This window comes from Homo sapiens, chromosome 18, assembly GCF_000001405.40.
Source record: "Homo sapiens chromosome 18, GRCh38.p14 Primary Assembly".
NCBI classification, from domain to species: domain Eukaryota; kingdom Metazoa; phylum Chordata; class Mammalia; order Primates; family Hominidae; genus Homo; species Homo sapiens.
Window position 1 is genome coordinate 60,152,121 of NC_000018.10, and position 21,017 is coordinate 60,173,137.

Genomic DNA, 21,017 nt, shown 5'->3' on the forward strand with positions numbered 1-21,017 from the left:
ATCTAAAATTTAAAAACCAAAGAATCTGGCTTCAAACCTGAAGTTAAGGCACAGGGAGGAGTCTGTTTGTATATTCTAATCTGTTCTTCTGACACGCTTTGTTCTTTTTCTGTGGAAGCTCAACAACAGATATGTGCAGAGCTTATTAGTTTGTTGTGTTTCAGCTCAAATCTTTCCTGGAATCATTAATCTTAAACTTGACCATGATAGATACTTCAGGCTGTATGCTTCAACTGCCTTTGTCAAAATAGGCATTTGCATTATAATAGGAAAGTATATGAAATTGCCCTGTTTGTTAGACATTTTGCACCGTCTGATTTTTTTTTCCAGAAGTAGCACTGTGGCTTCTGTTCAGAGCAGGTATGTTTACTCTATTTATGTTTAAATAGCATTGCTTAGGCCTTGAGTATGTTGGGTTAGCAGGTAGAATGCTCCACTGCAAGTAACAGAATAGCTGACTGAAATAGAATTAAATGATATGGCTTGATTCTTTTTTCATGTAACAAAAAGTCCAGAAGTTAGTGTGTTCCAGTTTGTTTTAGGCATTCAATAATAATACACAAGACCCAATTTCCTTCCATCTGTAAGCTCTGTCATCCTCAATATGTCAGTGATGTCATGTCTATATCTACGGACTCAAGATAGTTGTAAAAGATTGTAGGATCATGTCCTCATAACACTCTTTTGAAGTCAGGAGAAAGGGCAGGGTTAAAAGCGATGCAGTGGAAAATTTCAGCAAAGAGTGCTCCTCATGTTGGTTTCTTTTTATTCCTAGTTGAATAAAAGCAAGCAAAACAACTATCAGCCATTTTAGCCTGTCTCTAGAATCTGGCCCTTCCTATACGGAGGAAGGGTGGCGGGCATAGCTGTGGGATAGTGAGCCAGTGCTGCCTTGCTCTCGGGCAGTTGCCCCACTATCTCTGGTGCTATCCTTCCTCTTCTTGGTGTTTCCCATAAGGAGACCCAGGCCACAAATCCCCGCCTACCATCTGGAGGAGAAAAGGACATGTCCCAGAAAAACTTTCGGCCCACTTTCCATAGATAAAGCAAGACCATATATGAAACTCATTCTCTCTGCTATGTTCAGTAATCTTAGAGAAGAAACTTAGGTTTTTGTGTCTTCTAAAATGCTATAAGATTTGTCATTGTTTACTAATAGCTACCTTCTTCTTGAAAGCCAGTTGAGGAGAGTTTTGGGGCAACATTTTCTGTTGGTTTTCTTCTGATTTCTTTTGTTATTTCTTCCAGCTTTTTCCTCCTATATGTCTGGGGTTCACTGGGTTCCTGACATACATCTCTTTGCATGCTACTCCTCTTCATTGTGCAATCTTATGTGCTCCTTTGGCAGCAAGTATAGCCTAAATGAGTTGATGACTTCCAAGCCTGGATCTCCAGCTTGCATTTCTTTATTGCGCTCCAGTTCCATACACCCAGTTATTACTGCATAAACATTTTTATTGGCTGTCTCGTTGGTATTTTGAACTCAGATATTACAGACTGAATTAAACTTTTTTCCTCTTTGCACTGACCCCTCCCCTGGCTTGCTTCACTTCCTTCATTTCTGTATCACTGAATGGCCCCTCAGATATACCCGGTGGTCCAAGTCCTCTTTCTCTTCTCTTGAATCCAACCTCCCCCAAAATCCTGTTGACTGTGCCTCCTAGATATTTTTGTAATCAGTCTCCTTTTGTCCACTTCTACTGACACTGCCTGAGTTCAGTCGCTTCTCTTGTTTTACCTTGATTATTCATTGCAGACCCTCATAACAGCTGTCAGCATCCCTCCTTTCTGACCCACAGCTTTCCTTTCTGTAACCCCAAATCAGGCTGATTGTACTTGAAACTCACATCTGAATAAAAGATTTCCCTGTTTAAAATCTTTAGATAGCTTCACATAACCTTCAGGATAAAAATCCAGACTCATAACATGTCAACATGAGATCTTCAGTGGACTTTAACATTTTTTGGTTCACAGACATCTTTTTTTTATTGAAGTGTTTTTTTTTTTTTAATTTTTGGTTTTTTATTTTACTTTAAGTTCTGGGATACATGTGCAGAATGTGCAGGTTTGTTACATAGGTATACATGTGCCGTGGTGGTTTGCTGCACCTATCAACCCGTCATTTAGGTTTTAAGCCCCGCATGCGTTAGGTATTTGTCCTAATGCTCTCCCTCCCCTTGCCCCCAACTCTCCAACAGGCCCCAGTGTATGATGTTCCCCTCCCTGTGTCCATGTGTTCTCATTGTTAAACTCCCACTTATAAGTGAGAATATGCAGTGTTTGGGTTTGTGTTCCTGTGTTAGTTTGCTGAGAACGATGGCTTCCAGCTTCATCAATCTCCCTGCAAACGACATGAACTCATTCTTTTTTATGGCTGCATAGTATTCCATGGTGTATATGTGCCACATTTTATTCATCCAGTCTATCATTGTTGGATATTTGGGTTGGTTCCACATCTTTGCTATTGTAAATGGTGCTGCAATAAACATGTGTGCATGTGTCTTTATAGTAGAATGATTTATAATCCTTTGGGTATATACTCAGTAATGGGCTTGTTGGGTCAAATGGTATTTCTGGGTCTAGATCCTTGAGGAATCGCCATACTGTCTTCATTTATGAGGAAAAGTATGAAACCTTTCTGCCTGCTTTAGTGTTAAATGCTAAGTTTCTGTTCACAGGCCTGTCTCTGCATTTTTGGGGCAAGAACTTTAAAAACATGGTCTAGTCCTTTGTAGCTGTAGTTTATAACATGTCTGATACATTGCCGCCATTTAAAAAGTGATGAATTATTAATTGAAAACGTCTTTCTCTTTAAATGTGTGTGTTTATGGTCAATAGTGTAAGCAATCTGAATACGTATATTACTTTAGGGACTATGTCTGTTTCTGTATTTCAATGGTGCCCCATTTTTTTCATTTAATTGGGATTCTCATTATCTTATTTTTCCCTTCAGTGGAATTATCTGACAATCTGACATGATTGTAGGCTGACTCCAGTCCTCAAAATTTCTATTACAAAATCTATTCAGAATGGAATAATAATTACTTGGTATTGGCAGAGTAAGTACCCAGAAGAGGATCACTAATACTCTCAGTTCTTGATGATGTTTCATAAAAAGGGATAAATTAACCTCCATCCCAATTCTATTTCTTTAAGATATTGAGGCAGAGGCACAGGATGTAGGTTGTGTCACTTCTCTTTTCTTTTTAACCATTTTCTTTATTAACATGTCTCCAGAAATCCTCTTTCTCTCTTGACCAATGCATTCACTGATTACACATTTTACCCTCTGAAGCCAACTCCGTGGTTTAAATCATTTTAGGCTAGCAAGAAAATTACACAGACAAATTCAGTATCGAGCTGAACTAGATACTTAAATGAAAATAGTTGGAATGATATTCAGAAAACATCCTGTGTAAACAAATGGCAAATACAGTTTTAAGAAAGATTATAAATGCACTGCATTTAAATAATTACATGAAAATGTGTATTTTGAACATGACAGAATAAAACATAAATGGATGTTGAATAAAAGCTCAAAAGCATAGGCAACAAAAGCAAAAATAGACAAATGGGACACATCACATTGAAAAGCTTCTGCACAGCAAAGGAAACAATCAATAGAGTGAAGAGACAACCTACAGAATGGGAGAGGGTATTTGTAAACTATGCAGTTGACAAAGGGTTAATATCAGGACTATCTAAGGAACTCAAACAACCCAGTGCCAATACAAACAAATAATCCCATTTAAAAATGGGCAAATGACCCGAATAAACATTTCCTTAAAAAGACATACAAATAGGCTGGGTGTGGTGGCTCACGCCTGTAATCCCAGCACTTTGGGAGGCCGAGGCGGGTGGATCACGAGGTCAGGAGTTTGAGACCAGCCTGACCAATATGGTGAAACCCCGTCTCTACTAAAATTACAAAAATTAGCCAGGCGTGGTGGTGCACACCTGTAATCCTAGCTAATCTGGAGTCTGAGGTAGGAGAATCACTTGAACCCGGGAGGCAGGCAAAGGTTGCAGTGAGCTGAGATTACACCACTCCACTCCAGCCTGGGTGACAGAGTGAGACTCCATCTCAAAAAAAAAAAAAAAAAAAAAAAAAGACAAAGACATACAAATAGCCAATATGAAAAAATGCTCAACATCACGAATCATTAGAGAAATGCAAATCAAAACCACAACGAGGTATCACTTCACCCCCGTTAGAATAGTTATTACCAAAAAGACAAAAAACAACAAATACTGGTGATGTTGTGGCTAAGGGGGAACTCTAATGCACTGTTGGTAGGAATGTAAATCAGTACAGCCACTATGGAAACAGTGTGGAAGTTTCTCAAAAAACTAAAAATAGAACCACTGTATGATCCAGCAACCCCATTACTGGGTTTATATCCAACGACAATGAAATCATTGGTCAGGTGCGGTGGCTTATGCCTGTAATCTCAGCATTTTGGGAGGCTGAGGCGGGTGGACCACTTGGGGCTGGGAGTTTGAGACCAGCCTGGCCAACATGGTGAAACCCTGTCTCTACTAAAAATACAAAAATTAGCCAGACATGGTAGCACATGCCTGTAATCCCAGTTACTCAGGAGGCCAAGGCAGGACAATTGCTTGAACCCGGGAGGTGGATGTTGTAGTGAGCCGAAATCATGCCACTGCACTCAAGCCTGGGCAACAGAGCAAGACTCCATTTCAAAAAAAAAAAAACAAAAAAACTGAAATCAGCATGGTGACAAGATACTTGCACTCCTATGTTTATTGCAGCACTATTCACAATAGCCAAGATATGAAACCAACCTAAATGTCCATCAACAGATGAATGGATAAAGAAAGTGTTGTATATATATATAATCACATTTAATAATAGTATTCTATTACATATACGTGTATGTACACATACATATATGTATATTACATACTTGTTTTAGAAATACATACGTAATAGACATACATGTCTATTACATATATGTATTTATACATATATGCATATGTATACACACACATATGTAATAGAATACCATTCAGCCATAAAGCAGGATAAGATCCTGCCTGTCATTTGCAGCAACATGGATGAACCAGGAAGTTATTATGTTAAGTGAAATAAGCCAGGCACAATAAAACAATCTCCATATGATCTCACTCATATGTGGAATCTAAAAGAGTTGATTTCATAGAAATAGAGAGTAGAATGGTTACCAGAGACTGAGAAGGGAAGGGGAGAAAGGACAGGACATGGAGAGGTTGGTCAACAGACACAGAGTTACGGTTAGACAGGAAGAATAAGTTCTAGTGTTTTATTACACAGTAGGGTGACTATAGCAAATTAACAATGCAGTGTATATATCAAGATAGCAAGAAGAGATTTTGAATGTTACCACCACAAAGAAATAAATGATCAGTGTTTAAAGTATGGATATGATAACTACCCTGATTTAATCATCATACAACATACACAAGCATTGAAACATCGCACTGTACCCTATAAATATGCACAATTACGTATCAATACAAATAATTAAAAAATAGATATTCACAAGTGAAAAGGCAGCTGTGGAGGCCTTTTCTAATCACAGAAAATTGTGCCTTTTAAAAAACTTTCTTGCACAAGTAACAGCCGTAATTTCTTCAGAATACTTACCATGCATGTTGATTTAATCTAATAGGACAGGCATACTTCTTCTGTATATGGTAGAGTGACCTGGTTTTAAAAACTGTCACATGAATGGCTAGAGTGAAATTATAAAGAGCATGCATTGTAGTGCTTGAGTGCCTGCCTCCAAATTCCAGTTCTGCAATTTACGTGCTGTGTAAATCTTGGCAAGTCACTCAATCATTTTGTACCCCAGCTTCCTCTTATGTAAGCTGGGAATAATAATAGTGCTTGAAAGGGGTAACATGAGAATTCAATGAGTATATTTGTCATGTGCTCAGAACCACATCTGGTACTCTGTACATGAGGTCTAAAAGGCGGGGGGGTGGCCATTATTGTCAAGGACACCCAGTCTTCATTGAGCCCATTAAAGATGCCAGCACAATCTGTCTACCTTGTATGCATCGTATCATTTAATCTTAAAATACCTCTTTAAGGTAGGTTTTTTAAAACTGCATTTTACAAATGAGGAAACTGAGGCTTAGTGGTTAAACACTTGCCCCAGCTTAGTAAATGACCATGCTGGGATCCAGTTCACTGTCCTACCATAATAGGGCTCTAAGGAATTTGCTTAAGAAAATGGCTTATTTTAACATCTGATATCAAATTGAAAAAATAAAGTTATCCAGATTATCATAAAGATGTCTTTTCAGAAATCATGGTAAGATGATAAGAGAAGGTATTTACTTTTACTCAGGTATGTTTCTTGTGTTGTTGCCTGCCCTAGTTTATTAGACCCTTGATATGACAAAAAATATGCATGTAAAATCTAATTAGAAAGTACCCCTTGACTTTGAAACCAGCACATACACAGTTTTCTGAGTCCAATAAAAGAAAATAAGAGGGCTTATTGTGAGGCAACTACAAGTGAAATGACCTTCAATAGGTGCTACTGTACAGAAAAAATGTATCAGTAATTATTCTGAATTTGAGATAATAGAAAACAATGAAAGATAAATGATCTAAACTTTAGTCTCTTCAATATTACATTAAATATCACTATAATATTTGTGTCATATTTTAACATATATGAAAATCATTCATAACGATATGTCTCTAATTGGAGCTAACAATTCCTCATGATAAGCACTACCCTAGTACTTTGTAAGTCATGCTCATAGCATCGATAGTCTTTATTCATATGTGTATATATCCCACAGTGTGTGAGGTCCTACTGTATGTGGGACCCTGTGCTATGTGGGCTGAGAAGACCATGATGAGTAAAACAGACTGCTATGACTCTTGCCAACACAGAGCACATAGTGTAATGAGGAAGAATAATTAAAAGAGTAAAATAGTACATTTTCATTCTAAATCATCTGCTTTTCAGTTAATGGTGACTTTATTCCCCCATAAGAATGTGTGAATATTTATTTTATATTTGTTCACCTAAGGAGGTTACTTGAATTGTTTTGTTAAAATTAAGGCCTATTTTAAAGGTAAATTAAATTTTTCCCAAAAGAAAAAAAAAAGACTTTCCACCTGCAATATGTAATGTTTCCAAACTGTGCTCCTAGATTTAGGTCTTGCAAGGGTTACCCCATTTCACAGTGACACTGACTTGGTTTGCTTTCTAATATTATCTTCTTTGATAGAAATTTTACGATCTTCAAGTTTCTTGAGGTACTCCCTTTCTTTTTAAGATCTTGTATTTTCTTATTTGAAAAATACTTACATTTAGACTGCATCACGCTTCACATCAGTTTTGTTTTCCCTTAAAGCACCATTATGCTTAGCCATTTATTTACCCAAGCCAGCTTAAGGCTCCAAGGGAAGGGCGGCCACAGTGTTGAGTACTGACTCGCTCTCCTCTGTTGTGATTGTACCCAGAGAACTAAGAGCATGCTGAGAACCCAGAGAATTAAGAGCATGCTTCCCTCTATAATGAGGAGGAAGAGGAGACTAGAGTTAGCTGAGAGGTGGAGTGGTGGTGGCGACGGGGGACAGCGGGTGGAAAGGGAGAATGCAAGCAGGTAGCAGGCAAATTTCTTGGGGAGTAGCACTGAGTGTTTCAGCCTTCTCCTAATGACAAACAGCAGTGGCCATGAAGCTGTAAGAATGGCTGAGTCCTATTTCTTGGATATGCAGCAGATGCAGGAATGCCATGGAGCATTCTTTATCTCTACAATATCAGAAATATATATTTGTAATTGGAGCAAAAAAAGCACAACATTTACCAAAGGTAGTTATATTGCTGCCTGACACAATGAAGGATTCTTAGTAAGTGCTTTTATGAGTCAATACTCAGATCAAATGTCTTGAGCCTGTGCAGTTATCAAAAATTTAGTTACATGTCATGCCACTTCCTGAAGAAGATTGTCAATAACAAAAGAGCCATTTAATAATGGTTGCTCTCTTTACATTGTTTATCTGATTAGTTATGGTTAGTTATGGTGCCTCTCTATATTGAGTGCAACTAGCTCTGTTTATTCCTCTTCCTCCAAGCTAGAAGTATCACCTTCAACAACATTTCTCCAGGATATTCGACCGGGGGACACTGTTGTACATTATAATGAACCAAGGGCACACCAGTGGGAGCTGCTGAGCTATAATACACACTTGCAATGAGGTTATCGAAAAATATCCAATATTAGAAATACATATTGTAATTGGAGCAAAAAAAGCACATTCACCAAAGGTAACTATATTGCTGCCTGACAAAATGAAGGATTCTTAGTAAGTGTTTTTGATGAGTCAATACTCAGATCAAATGTCTTGAGCTGTGCAATTATCAAAAATTTAGTTACATGTCATACCACTTCCTGAAGAGGCAGATTGTCATATAACAAAATAAACATTTAATAATTATATATTTACATATACACCCACATATAATTGTAAATATGAATTACATGTATTTAAATATTTATACATTGTTAGCATTAATTTTTTTTACAAGCAATTCCTATTCGCATCTCATAGAATACCACCTTCTCAGGAAACACATCTTCAGCCATGCTGATACTAAGAAACAGGCAATTGTGTTTATGCTGCTTTCTTGTCTCTGTGATATTAGCTAAACTTACAGTTGAATAAAATTACATGTTGGGGTGAGAATTTGGAAAATTACTTGGTTAAGATGGCCTGAGTTCTAGGCATGGCTCTGCCAGAGGTCAGTGAGAAATTCTACAGGCTATGTCAATGTACTTGCTTGTCCTCCTGACTTTCCTTTCTGGTATAAATTTCCCTAGCAGTGTTCCTTGCTCAAAGAAGCAGTCCCGGGCTGTTCTTTGCCCAGGGATATCTTCCCAAGATGACCAGAAATGGCTTCATGACCTAAGGGTGGACAGCAGTGTTCTATTGTACCCACATCATCATCGTCTCACACGGAAGAGATGAGGCCTGTCATCAATCCATCAGATTACTCTTTTGATAGTGCAAATTGGAATTACAGAAAGGTTTCTTTTTGGAGAAGGGCCGAACGAAACAAATACGCAGAATGTAGGTAGGTATATCTTAAGTAAGATAGAATTTGTCTTGAGTGATTTTTACTGGCTTCCTTTTAGGAATCTTATCTTAGTCTATTTTTTTAAAATAATCAAATGAAATAGTTCTTACTTTTCTTCTTTATTGCTGTGTGAATTTTTAAAAAATACTTTTTCTTAACAGCTGCATGTTTGTCTCGGATATTTTGTATGTTGTGATTATTTTAAGGGAGACAATTTAGACACTTACTATAAAATTATTGGGTAAAAAAAGCCAACATAAAACTGGAAACTTTAAATTGTACCCAGTCTTTTTTTTCTAAAAAATGGAAACCAATAGTCTATAAATGTACATTGTGGTTATTATTCTTTTATAGTTTTCCACTGACTCTTCTTATTGATTCAAAAATATTTCAAGAAGTTATTTTTTAGAGCTACTTTTTGGAGTGATCACCAAAGAAATTGAAGAGATCACCTGTCAGCCATCAACACCCTACTGCCCCTGGATAGGTCTCCCTGCCATTATGTAATTCCCTTGAGGGAGGGAACCTGGAGGAGGATGAGAAGAAAAATAATCAAAGAAACAAAACAAGCATGAATTTAAAAGAAAAGCTTTCTGTCAGCTTTCTTCTTATTTTTCTTCTTCTTTTTCAAACACAGGAGTGATTGAATCACAGCCTGCCCTAATGGTATTTTATTGAGTTTCTAACTGCCAAGTCATGTCTGAGCTGCCAGTTTAAGTTTCAAACTTTTAGAAAAAGAACTGTTCCATATCCAGTCATTTGTTCCTATTCAATTTTGCAAAATAAAGAGATCACTTAAAGAACTCTGGGGAAGAGGATATTTGAGTTTTAGGGCCCAAACCCCTTGGCTTAACTTTCTACCATGTTGTCCATTAAAATATCTGAAGAAGGGGAAATTTTTCACCAAAAATTTATATTAAGAATTGAGCAGATGTGGGGTTCAGATAGGAGTTTTTATGGACAACAATACAGGAAACAGGATTAAGAAATAGCATTGGCCTATTTCTTTATTCTACAGTTCCGAGTCTGAAGTGGCACAGCTTTGATGTTCTGTTTGTCATTCTGTGCTGTGGCACTTTAAAAGTAAGAAAAATCATTAATGTATTACAGCAGTGATTCCTAAACCTTTGCGTGCATCTGAATCACCTGAAGGACTTGTTAAAACACAATTGTTGGGTCCTACTTCCAGAGTTTCTAATGCAGTGGGGTGGGACCTGAGAATTGGCATCTAACAAGTTCTCAAATAATTTTGTTGCTGCTGGTTTGGGGACCAAGTTTTGAGAACTACTTTATTACAAGGTCTCTCTTCTCCATGGCAGCTGAGAGGAAATTAAGGGTGTTATTCTGAACTACCTAAAATTAGGAAGTTAACTGTGGTTAGTGGTTCTCAGTCTTGGGTATTTTTTTATGAATCACTTGAGGAGAATTGTAAAAAATACTGATGTCATTATCTTTGTGATAGAAGTAGGACATTGATAATTTTTGAAAGATCCCTAGGTGTTTCCAATATGTACACAGAGTTGAGAATTCTTCATCATTTCCTAATTAGATATCAAGGATTTTCACCTACTCTAAATGAACAGTGTTGGTAGTACCTGGGCAAACTCTGAGAGGCAGAAGAGGAGAATTAGTGAAAAATCCTCTCACAGTAACTTCTAATGCAAGGCTTAGAGTAAGTATAACTTGATAAATCATGAGTCTCTAACACACACAAACAAATGAAAGATTTTTTTCAGCATATGAAACTTTGATGGAGTCTTTTCCTGTTCTGAGTGAAAAGATGGGGTCGTACACCTAAAAGGAAGCCAAATTTTTCTAAGGCCTTCTATTTTTGGGGGGGAATATGGTAGGCATTCTACCTTATAGCATATCCTCCAGCATGTGAACTGAGAGGTTGACTTGTCCACAAGGAGAGAAATTTGAGAACTCATGCTATATTCTAATACTAAGCTTGGCCAAATTGCATTCTGCTCAAGAATGAGTCAACTGAGAAAATCGGATCAAAGCTCATAAAACAGTCTGCAGCCCAAGAGAAGAACATTTCTCTAAGTGTTCAATAGAACATCTTTCTTGCCAAATAGAATTACTAAATGACAAGGAAAGAAAAAACATTTAAAATACCTGCCTGATGGCCTAATTTGTTTTAGGAAAACATTATTTGTAACAATAAATAGGTCAAGATAAATAGAGACTAGCTTGTGATAAGAAGAAAATGGAAGGAATCAAATGGTTCCAGAAGCAATAATAGAAAAGACATATTGCAGGAAATTGAATTATTTATACCATATCTGTATTTTAATAAATTAGCACTAGAAGAATAATAACAATAAGTTAGTTTAAGCTTTGTGCAGTGGCACTATTGTAGCTACTGAGGTTCCTCCAAGGTGTGATTATTGCTAATTAAAAACATTTCCCAATACCACGGTGTGATGACTTGCATTAGAATGGGCATTGGCAATTTTTGACAGTCTCTACAGAGACCGAATTTAAAAAAAGAAAAAAGAGAATTCATTTTTAACCATAATGTGCAAATACTGTATTTGATGTATCCTGTACTCTGTCACTTGTCTTCGAGTGCCAAGCTTGGGTGCTTGGGACCACAAGGGAAGTGCTGTGGTTGGGAGACACTTGATTATTAACCAGGTCACCTGTCTCAAGTCCTTGCTTGAGTTTCTGCTTTCTTGGCAAGAGGGAAATCTCCAGATTTTTTTTTGTCCTTATTCCTGGGAAATCTCGACATAGAGTCCATTCAAATCTGCCGGCTACTTGCTGTGAACCCTAACCCCTAATCTAGTCCCTCTTAGCTTTGAGGGATCCCACAATCACCAAGAGAAATAGAAGTTTCCAAAATGAGACAGTCAAATTAACAATTACCACAAATGATTCCAAAGTGGAGAGAAATGTTTACTTGGGTGAGTCAATGGTCTTTCTCTCTGTCCCACAAAAGAGAAGGTGCCCATACTACACTGCTGGGATAGGGGAGCCACCAAAGAAAAGAGCTCTGGAGGCTTACTGCCAGTGAATTACACACATGCAGATCTGTGGCCTCTTCTCCTTATGATTGGTGGGGTGGGGGTGGGACCCCAGCAGCCCTATTTCAACAGGAAGCAGGTAGGCACCGATCTTCCTAAGAACCATTAGAACGTCACCCCCAACTGAAAATATAGGCAGATTTCCATGGTGATTTAAGCACTTGAAGGGTAAGTACATATTAAAATGTGCCCCCACAAGATACAGGCCTTTGGAAGTGCTCTGTGTGGATGTACCCTCACTTTCTAACATCAACTCCTAATTTTCTCTCCTACTCTGCCTTAGTATTCCATTTCCTGGAATACTCATCTACGTAAGAGATGGAGATTCTGGCCATCTTTTTTTCCCTGTGCCCTGCAAACTCTATCATCTTTGGCTTAGAACGAATGTTGTGGTAGGCTTTCTTTGGACCATGCTTCTACTGGTTGTCAAATCAGAAGGCTCTTGTATCATGAGGTGGAAGAATATAGTACCAATTCCATTCAATTTCCTCCTCCAGGGACGGCATCAGAAACTTTTCCCTTTGATTAGGGCAAACACAGCTTATCAACTTGAGTATGTTAAGTTTCTTTTTTTTAATTTTATTTTATTATTATTATACTTTAAGTTTTAGGGTACATGTGCACAATGTGCAGGTTGGTTACATATGTATACATGTGCCATGCTGGTGTGCTGCACCCATTAACTCGTCATTTAGCATTAGGTATATCTCCTAAAGCTATCCCTCCCCCCTCCCCCCACCCCACAACTTTGGTTTAAAGCAAGTGACACCAATCAGGCTTGGAAGAGATAGAAACTGGGCAACTCTAAGTCACTTTTTGAAAGAAACTTCTAGATTGTCTCACCTACTTTCACAGAATAAATGATCTCTAAACATTTTCTCTCATTGTTGTGTGACCTCTCGGAGGGTTGAAACTGCCTTTGCAAAAACTATAACTGAGACAATTATTACAGTGAAAGAGATCTGACCTAACTGACTCCATCTTGCTTCTAACCTTCATGCTGTCCTTGTTCATTTTTGGGTGGAGGCTGAACTAACTCTGGGATGAACTTACTTTATGGTTTAGCTTTGAAACGGTGATGGTAACAGCCCTTTCTCAAAACAAACCCCCTTCCTACCTAGGGACTAGACTGCCTTTGCAGGACTAACAAATTAGCCACAAGATTAGAAATTATGGTTTAGGAGTCATGCAGCTGGAGGCTGTAAGATTCTAAACTTCCTCAAATTGCTCCTGGGGATAACGTCACTATTGTAAACCCTAATACCAGCACTTGAGACATTTTGCAGACCCTGCATTCGAAGGATCAGTTGGTACCACCTAAATTGATAAACTGGCTCATTTGGTCTTTTGGCCCCACCCTGCCACCCCCCTACCCAGGAAATGACTTTGCAAGAGGACAGCTTCAACTCCCTGTGATTTCATCTCTGACATGACCAATCAGAACTCCCAACTCACTGGCCCCCTACCTACCAAATTATCCTTAAAAAATCAGATCCCCAAATGCTCGGGAAGACTGATTTCAGTAATAATAAAACTCCGGTCTCCCACACAGCCAGCTTTGCATGAATTACCCTTTCCTCCCAACTCACTGGCCCCCTACCCACCAAATTATCCTTAAAAAATCAGATCCCCAAATGCTCGGGAAGACTGATTTCAGTAATAATAAAACTCCAGTCTCCCACACAGCCAGCTTTGTATGAATTACCCTTTCTCTACTGCAATTCTCTGGTCTTGATAAATCGGCTCTGTCTAGGCAACAGGCAAGATAAACCCATTGGGTGGTTGTAGGGTCCACACCTAAGGAAAGAAACAGTGATCAATTGGCTGAACTTGGATCATGTGGCTACTGTCGATCTAGGTACCAAGAGAAAGGATCTTGTAGAAAGAGCTCTAAGACCACTTTAGCCTTATAATGGTAGCTCAAGGCTCTTTGAATATAGAATTTTATTACGCTTCTGCATGATAAAAATACTTCAGTCTTCATATAGAAAAATGAAAAGCCTGTGGGAAAAAGTAATGGATGCAGTGTAGCCCTAAATTGACAATTGTTCTGTACAAGAACAACTAATTTTATTCCAAAGACAGTGCAGCTTATGTTCATCTGAAAATAGTATATTGATTTTATTGTATAACATTGATTCTACTTCTTATAAAACATAACTCTTTTTTATTGTGCTAAAGAAGTTTTCTCCTTCTTCTTGGCTCCTCTTTCATCACAAAGAGCCTCTTTTTAACCCTTTTATTATCATCTCAGATCGCTTGCAAAATTTCTCAGCTCCTAATCCTTTGATGTTCTCACAGGGAGAGAAAATAGGAAAAGGACAAGAGTGCCAGTGACCTCCTTTGTCCTCAGAGTGAGGTGATGTTCTGCTTAAGGACTGAACTATTCATGTCAGTGGTGTCCTTTTATTGCTTATAGGGATGTACAGATTCATTTCCCAACCATCTCAAAGGTTTTCTCTCCTGTGAACTCCAGTAGCCCTCTGTCTATACTTGTGGTCTTTCCCACCCATCTTCAGACTATTTTATTCTCTGAATTGTTAGTATTTTAGAACCACAGTCAGTCTGATGATAAAGGGCTTTCAAAAAATGGTCCACCTTCCATGAGACCACATATCATCAATTTAAGTATAAAGAGTAAGCATATAATTTATTACCCAAATTAGAACACTTTTGAAAGTAAAAGGAAACAATAGAAATCACATTATGTCATTGGCTTTAAACTAGGATTTCTCACAAAATGTTGAATTTTTTTTGACTTGTGGATATATAACTTACAAGGTTAAGAAAATTTGATATATCTTTCATGAAACCATAGGTTCTCTCAATTTCTCCTGCACATTGAACCTTGCCATATCTGATTGTATTCCTCTATTTTTAGTTGCTTTCTACTTCTTGAATCTGGTTTAGATATACATATATTTCAAGCTTGTTATTTTTTCAGCTGTATCCCTCTATCCACCCTTTCACATCTGTACTTCCCCATCATTTTAATCCTTCATCTACATGAGGGTAGATGGAAAGGTGCATTGAAACATACATGAAAAGACATGGGCTGGGCATGGTGGCTCACACCTGTAATCCATGAACTTTGGTAGGCCACAGTGGGAGAATCATTTGAGGCCAGGAGTTCAAGATCAGCCTGGGAAACAGTGAGACTCTGTCCCTAAGAAAAAATTAAAAATTAGCTGGGTATGTCAATATTCACTTGCAGTCCTAGGTTCTTGGGGTTAGGGGAGTGATGAGGTGGGAGAATCACCTGGGCCCAGGGGTTCAAGGCTGTAGTGAGCTACGATGGCACTATTCACTCTATCTTGGGTGACAGAGTGAGACCTAGTCTTAAAAAAAGAAGACACAGATGTATTTAACTGTGAATTTGAGTTATTTAACCTCATTGGCCTCAATTTCTTCATTTGTTAAAGGAGATGACAGTAGTTGCTTAGCCTGCCTATTTAAAATAACAACACACTGCAAAAAAAAAATCATCATAAAGTTCATATTATGATCATAGCATATATCATAATAACTAATGTTTGTTGAACACTTACAATGTTCCAGGGCAGATCTGGTATTTAACCATATATTAAAGTATAAAACTCACCTACTGATTGGTAGGTAGCCAATGTCCTCTACTTACATGGCCATCCTTGTTCCTTCTCCAGGGCCAAGGGGGAAGGGATTCTAGACCTCCTCTCTAGTCCAGCAACAGAAGAAGTAATGCCTGGCACCTCAGCAGATCCCTAGCACCCCATTCCAGTATTACTTTCAGATTGGTTATTGCCAGACAAATTGGTGCCTCCAAAGTCTTGAATTTTTGGCCTCTTTTTTTTTTTTTTGGATTTCCTCTTCCTCTTTTCTTAGAGGGCTGGCCTATATCTTGAACATGGATTTGGCCTGTCCTTGAAGAGGCCCATTGGGCACTGTCTAGGACTCTTCTACCTGCCAAACCACCAGGTAGGCCACTGGGGCTCTTGTGTGTGGCCCCTACCCTTGAGGGTCCCTGGACCATGATAGTAGATCCGGCACCCAGTAGGCAAACATCTGGTCCCACCTGGCTCTCTGAGGTTGTGGCTGTCTGCTGCTGGCCAGTACTTCCCCTCTTAAGGCTGTCTGTGGGAACTTCACCCATCATTGGATTTAGTCTGTAGGATCCTGGAGGAGACACCTAGTGAACTGGTGAGGAGGCCACAATGGAGTCTCTCTCAGACATAGACAAGGTGCTGCTGGCTCTGCTGACATAGTAGGTATCCCTGCGGCAGGAGTGTCTTAGTCCATTTCTTCTGCTGTAATAAAATACGATCATGAGATGCATAATGTTTTGGTCAACAGACTGCGTATGTGACTGTAGTCCTATAAGATTATAATGGAACTGAAAAATTCCTATCACCTAGCGATGTCATAGCCATCATAATGTCGTAGTGCAATTACTTTATTTTTATAAAAATAAATTCAGTGTAGCCTAAGTGTAGCATGTTTACAAAGCCTACAGTGTTTACAAAGTCTACAGTAGTGTGCAGTAATGTCCTAGGCCTTCAGCTTCGCTCACCACTCACTCACTGTCTCACCCAGAGCAACTTCCAGGCCTGCAAGCTCCATTCGTGGTAAGTGTCTGTACACCTGTAAAGGTGTACTATTTTTTTCTCTCTCATACCTCAGTTTTACTGTATCTTTTCTGTGTTTAGATACACAAATACTTACCATTGTGGTACAGTTGCCTATGGTACTCAGTATAGTAAGATACTGTCCAGATTTGTAGCCCAGGAGGAATAGGCTTTGCCATCGAGCCCAGGTGTGTAGTAGGTTACAGCATTTAGGTTTGTGTAAGTGCACTCTGTGATGTTCACACAACAAGGAAATCACCTAACAACGCATTTCTCAGAATGTATCCCCACACTGTCTTTTTTTTTTTTTTTTTGAAACAGAGTCTCACTCTGTTGCCGAGGCTGGAGTGCAGTGGTGCGATCTTGGCTCACTGCAACCTCCGCCTCCCATGTTCAAGTGATTCTCCTGCCTCAGCCTGAGTAGCTGGGGTTACAGGCATGTGCCACCAGCCCGGCCAACTGTATTTTCATATCTTTAGTAGAGATAGAGTTTCGCCATGTTGGCCAGGCTGGTCTTGAACTCCCGACCTCAGGTGATCTGCCCGCTTTGGCCTCCCAAAGTGCTGGGCTATCACAGGCATGAGCCACCACGCCCGGCCATCCCTACATTGTTAAGTGACATGTGATTGTACCTTAGACCAGGTAATTTATAAAGACCACAGTTTTATTTTTCACAGTTCTAGACACTGAGAAGTTCAAGATCAAGGTGTCTGCAGGTGTGGTTGTCTGGTGAGGGCTTCTCTCTGCTTTTGAGATTGTTCCTTGTGGCTGCATGCTATCCCCTTTTTCATCTTCTTCTTAGTGGGATGAACGCTGTGTCCTTGTGTGTGGCAGAAGTCAGAGGACAAGAGAGTCAAACACTGTGTATCAGGGCCTTCATCCTGTTCATGAGAGAGGAGTTCTCACAGCCTAATCACTTCAAATAAAGGCCCCCCTTCTTAATACTCTCACACTGACCATTAAGTGTCAACAATTTTGGAGGGAACACATTTAAACCATAGTGAAGAGGGAGGACAGGGATAAGTGTGGCCTGTGGGACAACTTCAGGGCTAAAAGATACCCAGGATGTGGGGGACCTTTTCACTATCTTTTGAAGTGTGATTCCATTCAGTGGCACAAGTCCTTTAAAATGCACTGAATGCCTGCTTATACCAACATTCAATACTAACGTTATTAATAAGTTATCAATAGTAAATTATCAAATATATAATTCCCATACACATTTCTGTGTTATATAAAGCGAAGTAATTACTTGTGAGATCATGTCCAATAGTAAGCATTATCAGCTCATAAAGCAACCCTTTAGCCCTTTAACTTAAGTGTTTAAAGAAACTGATTTTTATGGAACAGAGGAATTATTAATAAGATTTTAACATACCTGTTATAGTTAGAGCAGTCTCTGGAATATCTCAAAGATGTTAGCATAATTGAAGTACTGATTTTTTTTTTCATGTCCCTAATTTATTCTTTAAGGGAAAAAGGGACTTCGGAATATTAGGATAGGTATTCTACTAAAAGCATGATTATTGATCACTGTCGTTGAAAATGCACTGTATTAGTAGTAGACATGCACCTGGTTGTGATCTGTTTCTAGTGCTTTCACAACCACTCACTAGTTATGTAACTAGGAAAATGTATGACTAGAAAGCAGTGACACTAGCATTTTCTCTGCTAGTAAAAAATACTAGAATCTCTCTAAACCCTTTTAGTTCTAACATGTATGATTAGATCACATTGTTGTAACTGGAAAGAAAGTTTTAAATACTAGTGAAGGTTTGACTTAAACTTCTCTACCTGATGTTGCTTTTGGTCAACAAGGTGTATAGCAGGCTGTCATCTCTGAGACAGACGAAAGAATCACCAGTATAACATGAACTCTAAAAGAAATAAAATGAATATATTCACCAAAGAAACGTTATCTCAATTTTAAAAATTTTCTTTGTGTTGAAAAATTTTTGACACAGCTGAGAACCAAAGTCGCTGTGACTTATTTTACACAGAACCATTGCAGTGCTAAAACTTGTTATTATTCCAATAAATTAAATGGCAATGTATTGTCTTTTAGGTTAAATACTATGTGCGCTTGCATTGTGACTATTCCATGTGATTTTCATTGTGGCAAATAAGTCACATACTTGCTTGTAAGTTTTTCTTACTACTACTAATAAACATTTGGATGCTCAATTGTGAGTGAATATTATATATATATAATATTCCTTGATTATTTCAATGTATATCACACTCCAAATTAACCACTAAAATATACTTTACCACATAAAATGCAGTACTTACAAAAAGGTAGTACAAGTTGACATGTGCTACCTTTATTAGTCCAAATTTCAAAGGGCTGGATATCTACATGTAAAGTAATGAATTTGAACCCTTGCTTATATCATTTACAGAAATTAACTGAGAATGGCTTAAAGATCTAAATAATGGAGGTAAAACTCTTAGAAGAAAACATATAGGAATAAATCATCATAACCTTGGATTTGGCAATGGTTTCTTGGGTATGACACCAAAAACATAAGCAACAAAAGAAAAAAATAGATAAATTGGACTCGAGTATGAAACTTTTTACATCAAAGGACACTACCAAGAAAGTAAAAAAGAATTGGAGCAAATCTTTGCAAGTCGTTTAGCTGATAAGGATCTAGTATTCAGACTACATAAAGAGTTCCTAGAACTCAATAACAAAGAGAAAATCGAATGCAATAATGGCCCAAGGATTTGAGTACACATTTTCCCAGAGAATATTTACAAATGGCCAAGAAACCCATGAAAATACACTCAACATCATTAGTCATTAGGGAAATACAAATCAAAACCACAATGAGATACCTTTTCATACCCACAAAGATGGCTATGATCAAAAACGGAAAATAAACATTGGTGAGGACATGGAGTGACTAGAACCCTTGACCATTTCCAGCGGGAATGTAAAATGTGCAGCCATTGTGGGAAACAGTTTGTTGGTTCCTCAAAAAGCTAAACATAGAGTTACTATATAACCCAGCAATTCCACTTCTGGGAATATACCTAAAAGATTGAAAACAGGAGCTCAAAAAAAAAATAACTCATACATGAATGTTCATAGCAATAATGTTCATAATGGTCAAAAGGTGAAAACAATACAGATATTCATCAACTGATTAAGGGGTAAACAAAATGTGGTCTATCCATAGAATGAAATATTCTTCAGCCATAAAAGAATGAAGTACTGATATACGTTACAGCATGAATGAGCTTTGATAGTAATAAACTAAATGAAAAAAGCCAGACACAAAAAGCCATGTATTGTATGTTTCTATTTATATGAAATATCCAGAACAGACAAATTCATAATGATATAAAACAGATTACTGATTGCCAGGGGCTGGGGGTGAGGCTGGAGGGAATGGTGAGTGATTGCTTAATGGGTATAAAGTTTCCTTTTGGAGTGATAAAAATGTTCTGGAACTAAATAGTGGTGATGGTTACAAAACACTGTGAATGTATTGTGTGCCACTGAATTATATAAACTTTAAGATGATTACAACAGTGATTTTATGTTTTCTGAATTTTATCGCAATAAAAAAGAAGAAATGAAAGGACTGTTTTAAAAAATAAAGTCTATTTTATAAGTTCAAAATGATCAAGTTAAAAGTCTGAAATTTGAGTTGCAGCTTTAAGTGACCTATGACCCGATGTTTGTGTAAAATTTATCCATAAGTCTCGTCTATCCAATTTCTTCTTATTTGGCATTGTGGTAATCCAGATTTAAATGAAATGAGAAAAGATTATGGAATCCATTGACCTGTAGTGGTATATGAAAAAGTAATTTAATCTTCATATAATTGAATCAAGGAGGCTCAGATATGATGTTTCACTTAGTGAAAATCCCCTCTTGCTAAATTATAAATAGTCAGAGTTTCCACTGTATTTTCTTGTGAACTTCCTGAAAAGCTCTTAGAAGCTACATGGTGGTGGTAGTGGTGATGATGGTGGTGGTGGTCTGTGTATTTTATTATAATTTTTTAGAAGAATTTTCCTAGGTCTATGTAAGGCACCTGAAATTTAACTTTACCATAGAATTTTCAGATCATTACTGGAAGAATGATGCTACTTCCCATGTTGTTTAAATTACGGAAGTGACTATGTTGTCTTAAATATAATTCTAATATTTATTTTACCTCATTCATTCTTTGATTAGTGGATTAGTCCATTCTCATGCTGCTAATAAAGACATACCCAAGACTGAGTAATTTATAAAGGAAAGAGGTTTAATTTACTCACCG

The 21,017-nt window shown here is 37.9% G+C and overlaps 1 long non-coding RNA gene and 1 pseudogene across 1 annotated transcript in view; both read left to right on the plus strand.

Annotated features, from left to right (window-relative positions):
• Window positions 1-9,075, plus strand: part of LINC03111 (long intergenic non-protein coding RNA 3111) — a 36,163-nt gene extending 27,088 nt beyond the window's left edge. Inside the window, exon 3 of the long non-coding RNA NR_186639.1 lies at window positions 8,851-9,075. This is a non-coding gene — a long non-coding RNA (long intergenic non-protein coding RNA 3111). The remainder of the gene's footprint in view (window positions 1-8,850) is intronic.
• Window positions 11,447-11,587, plus strand: RNU4-17P (RNA, U4 small nuclear 17, pseudogene; annotated as a pseudogene).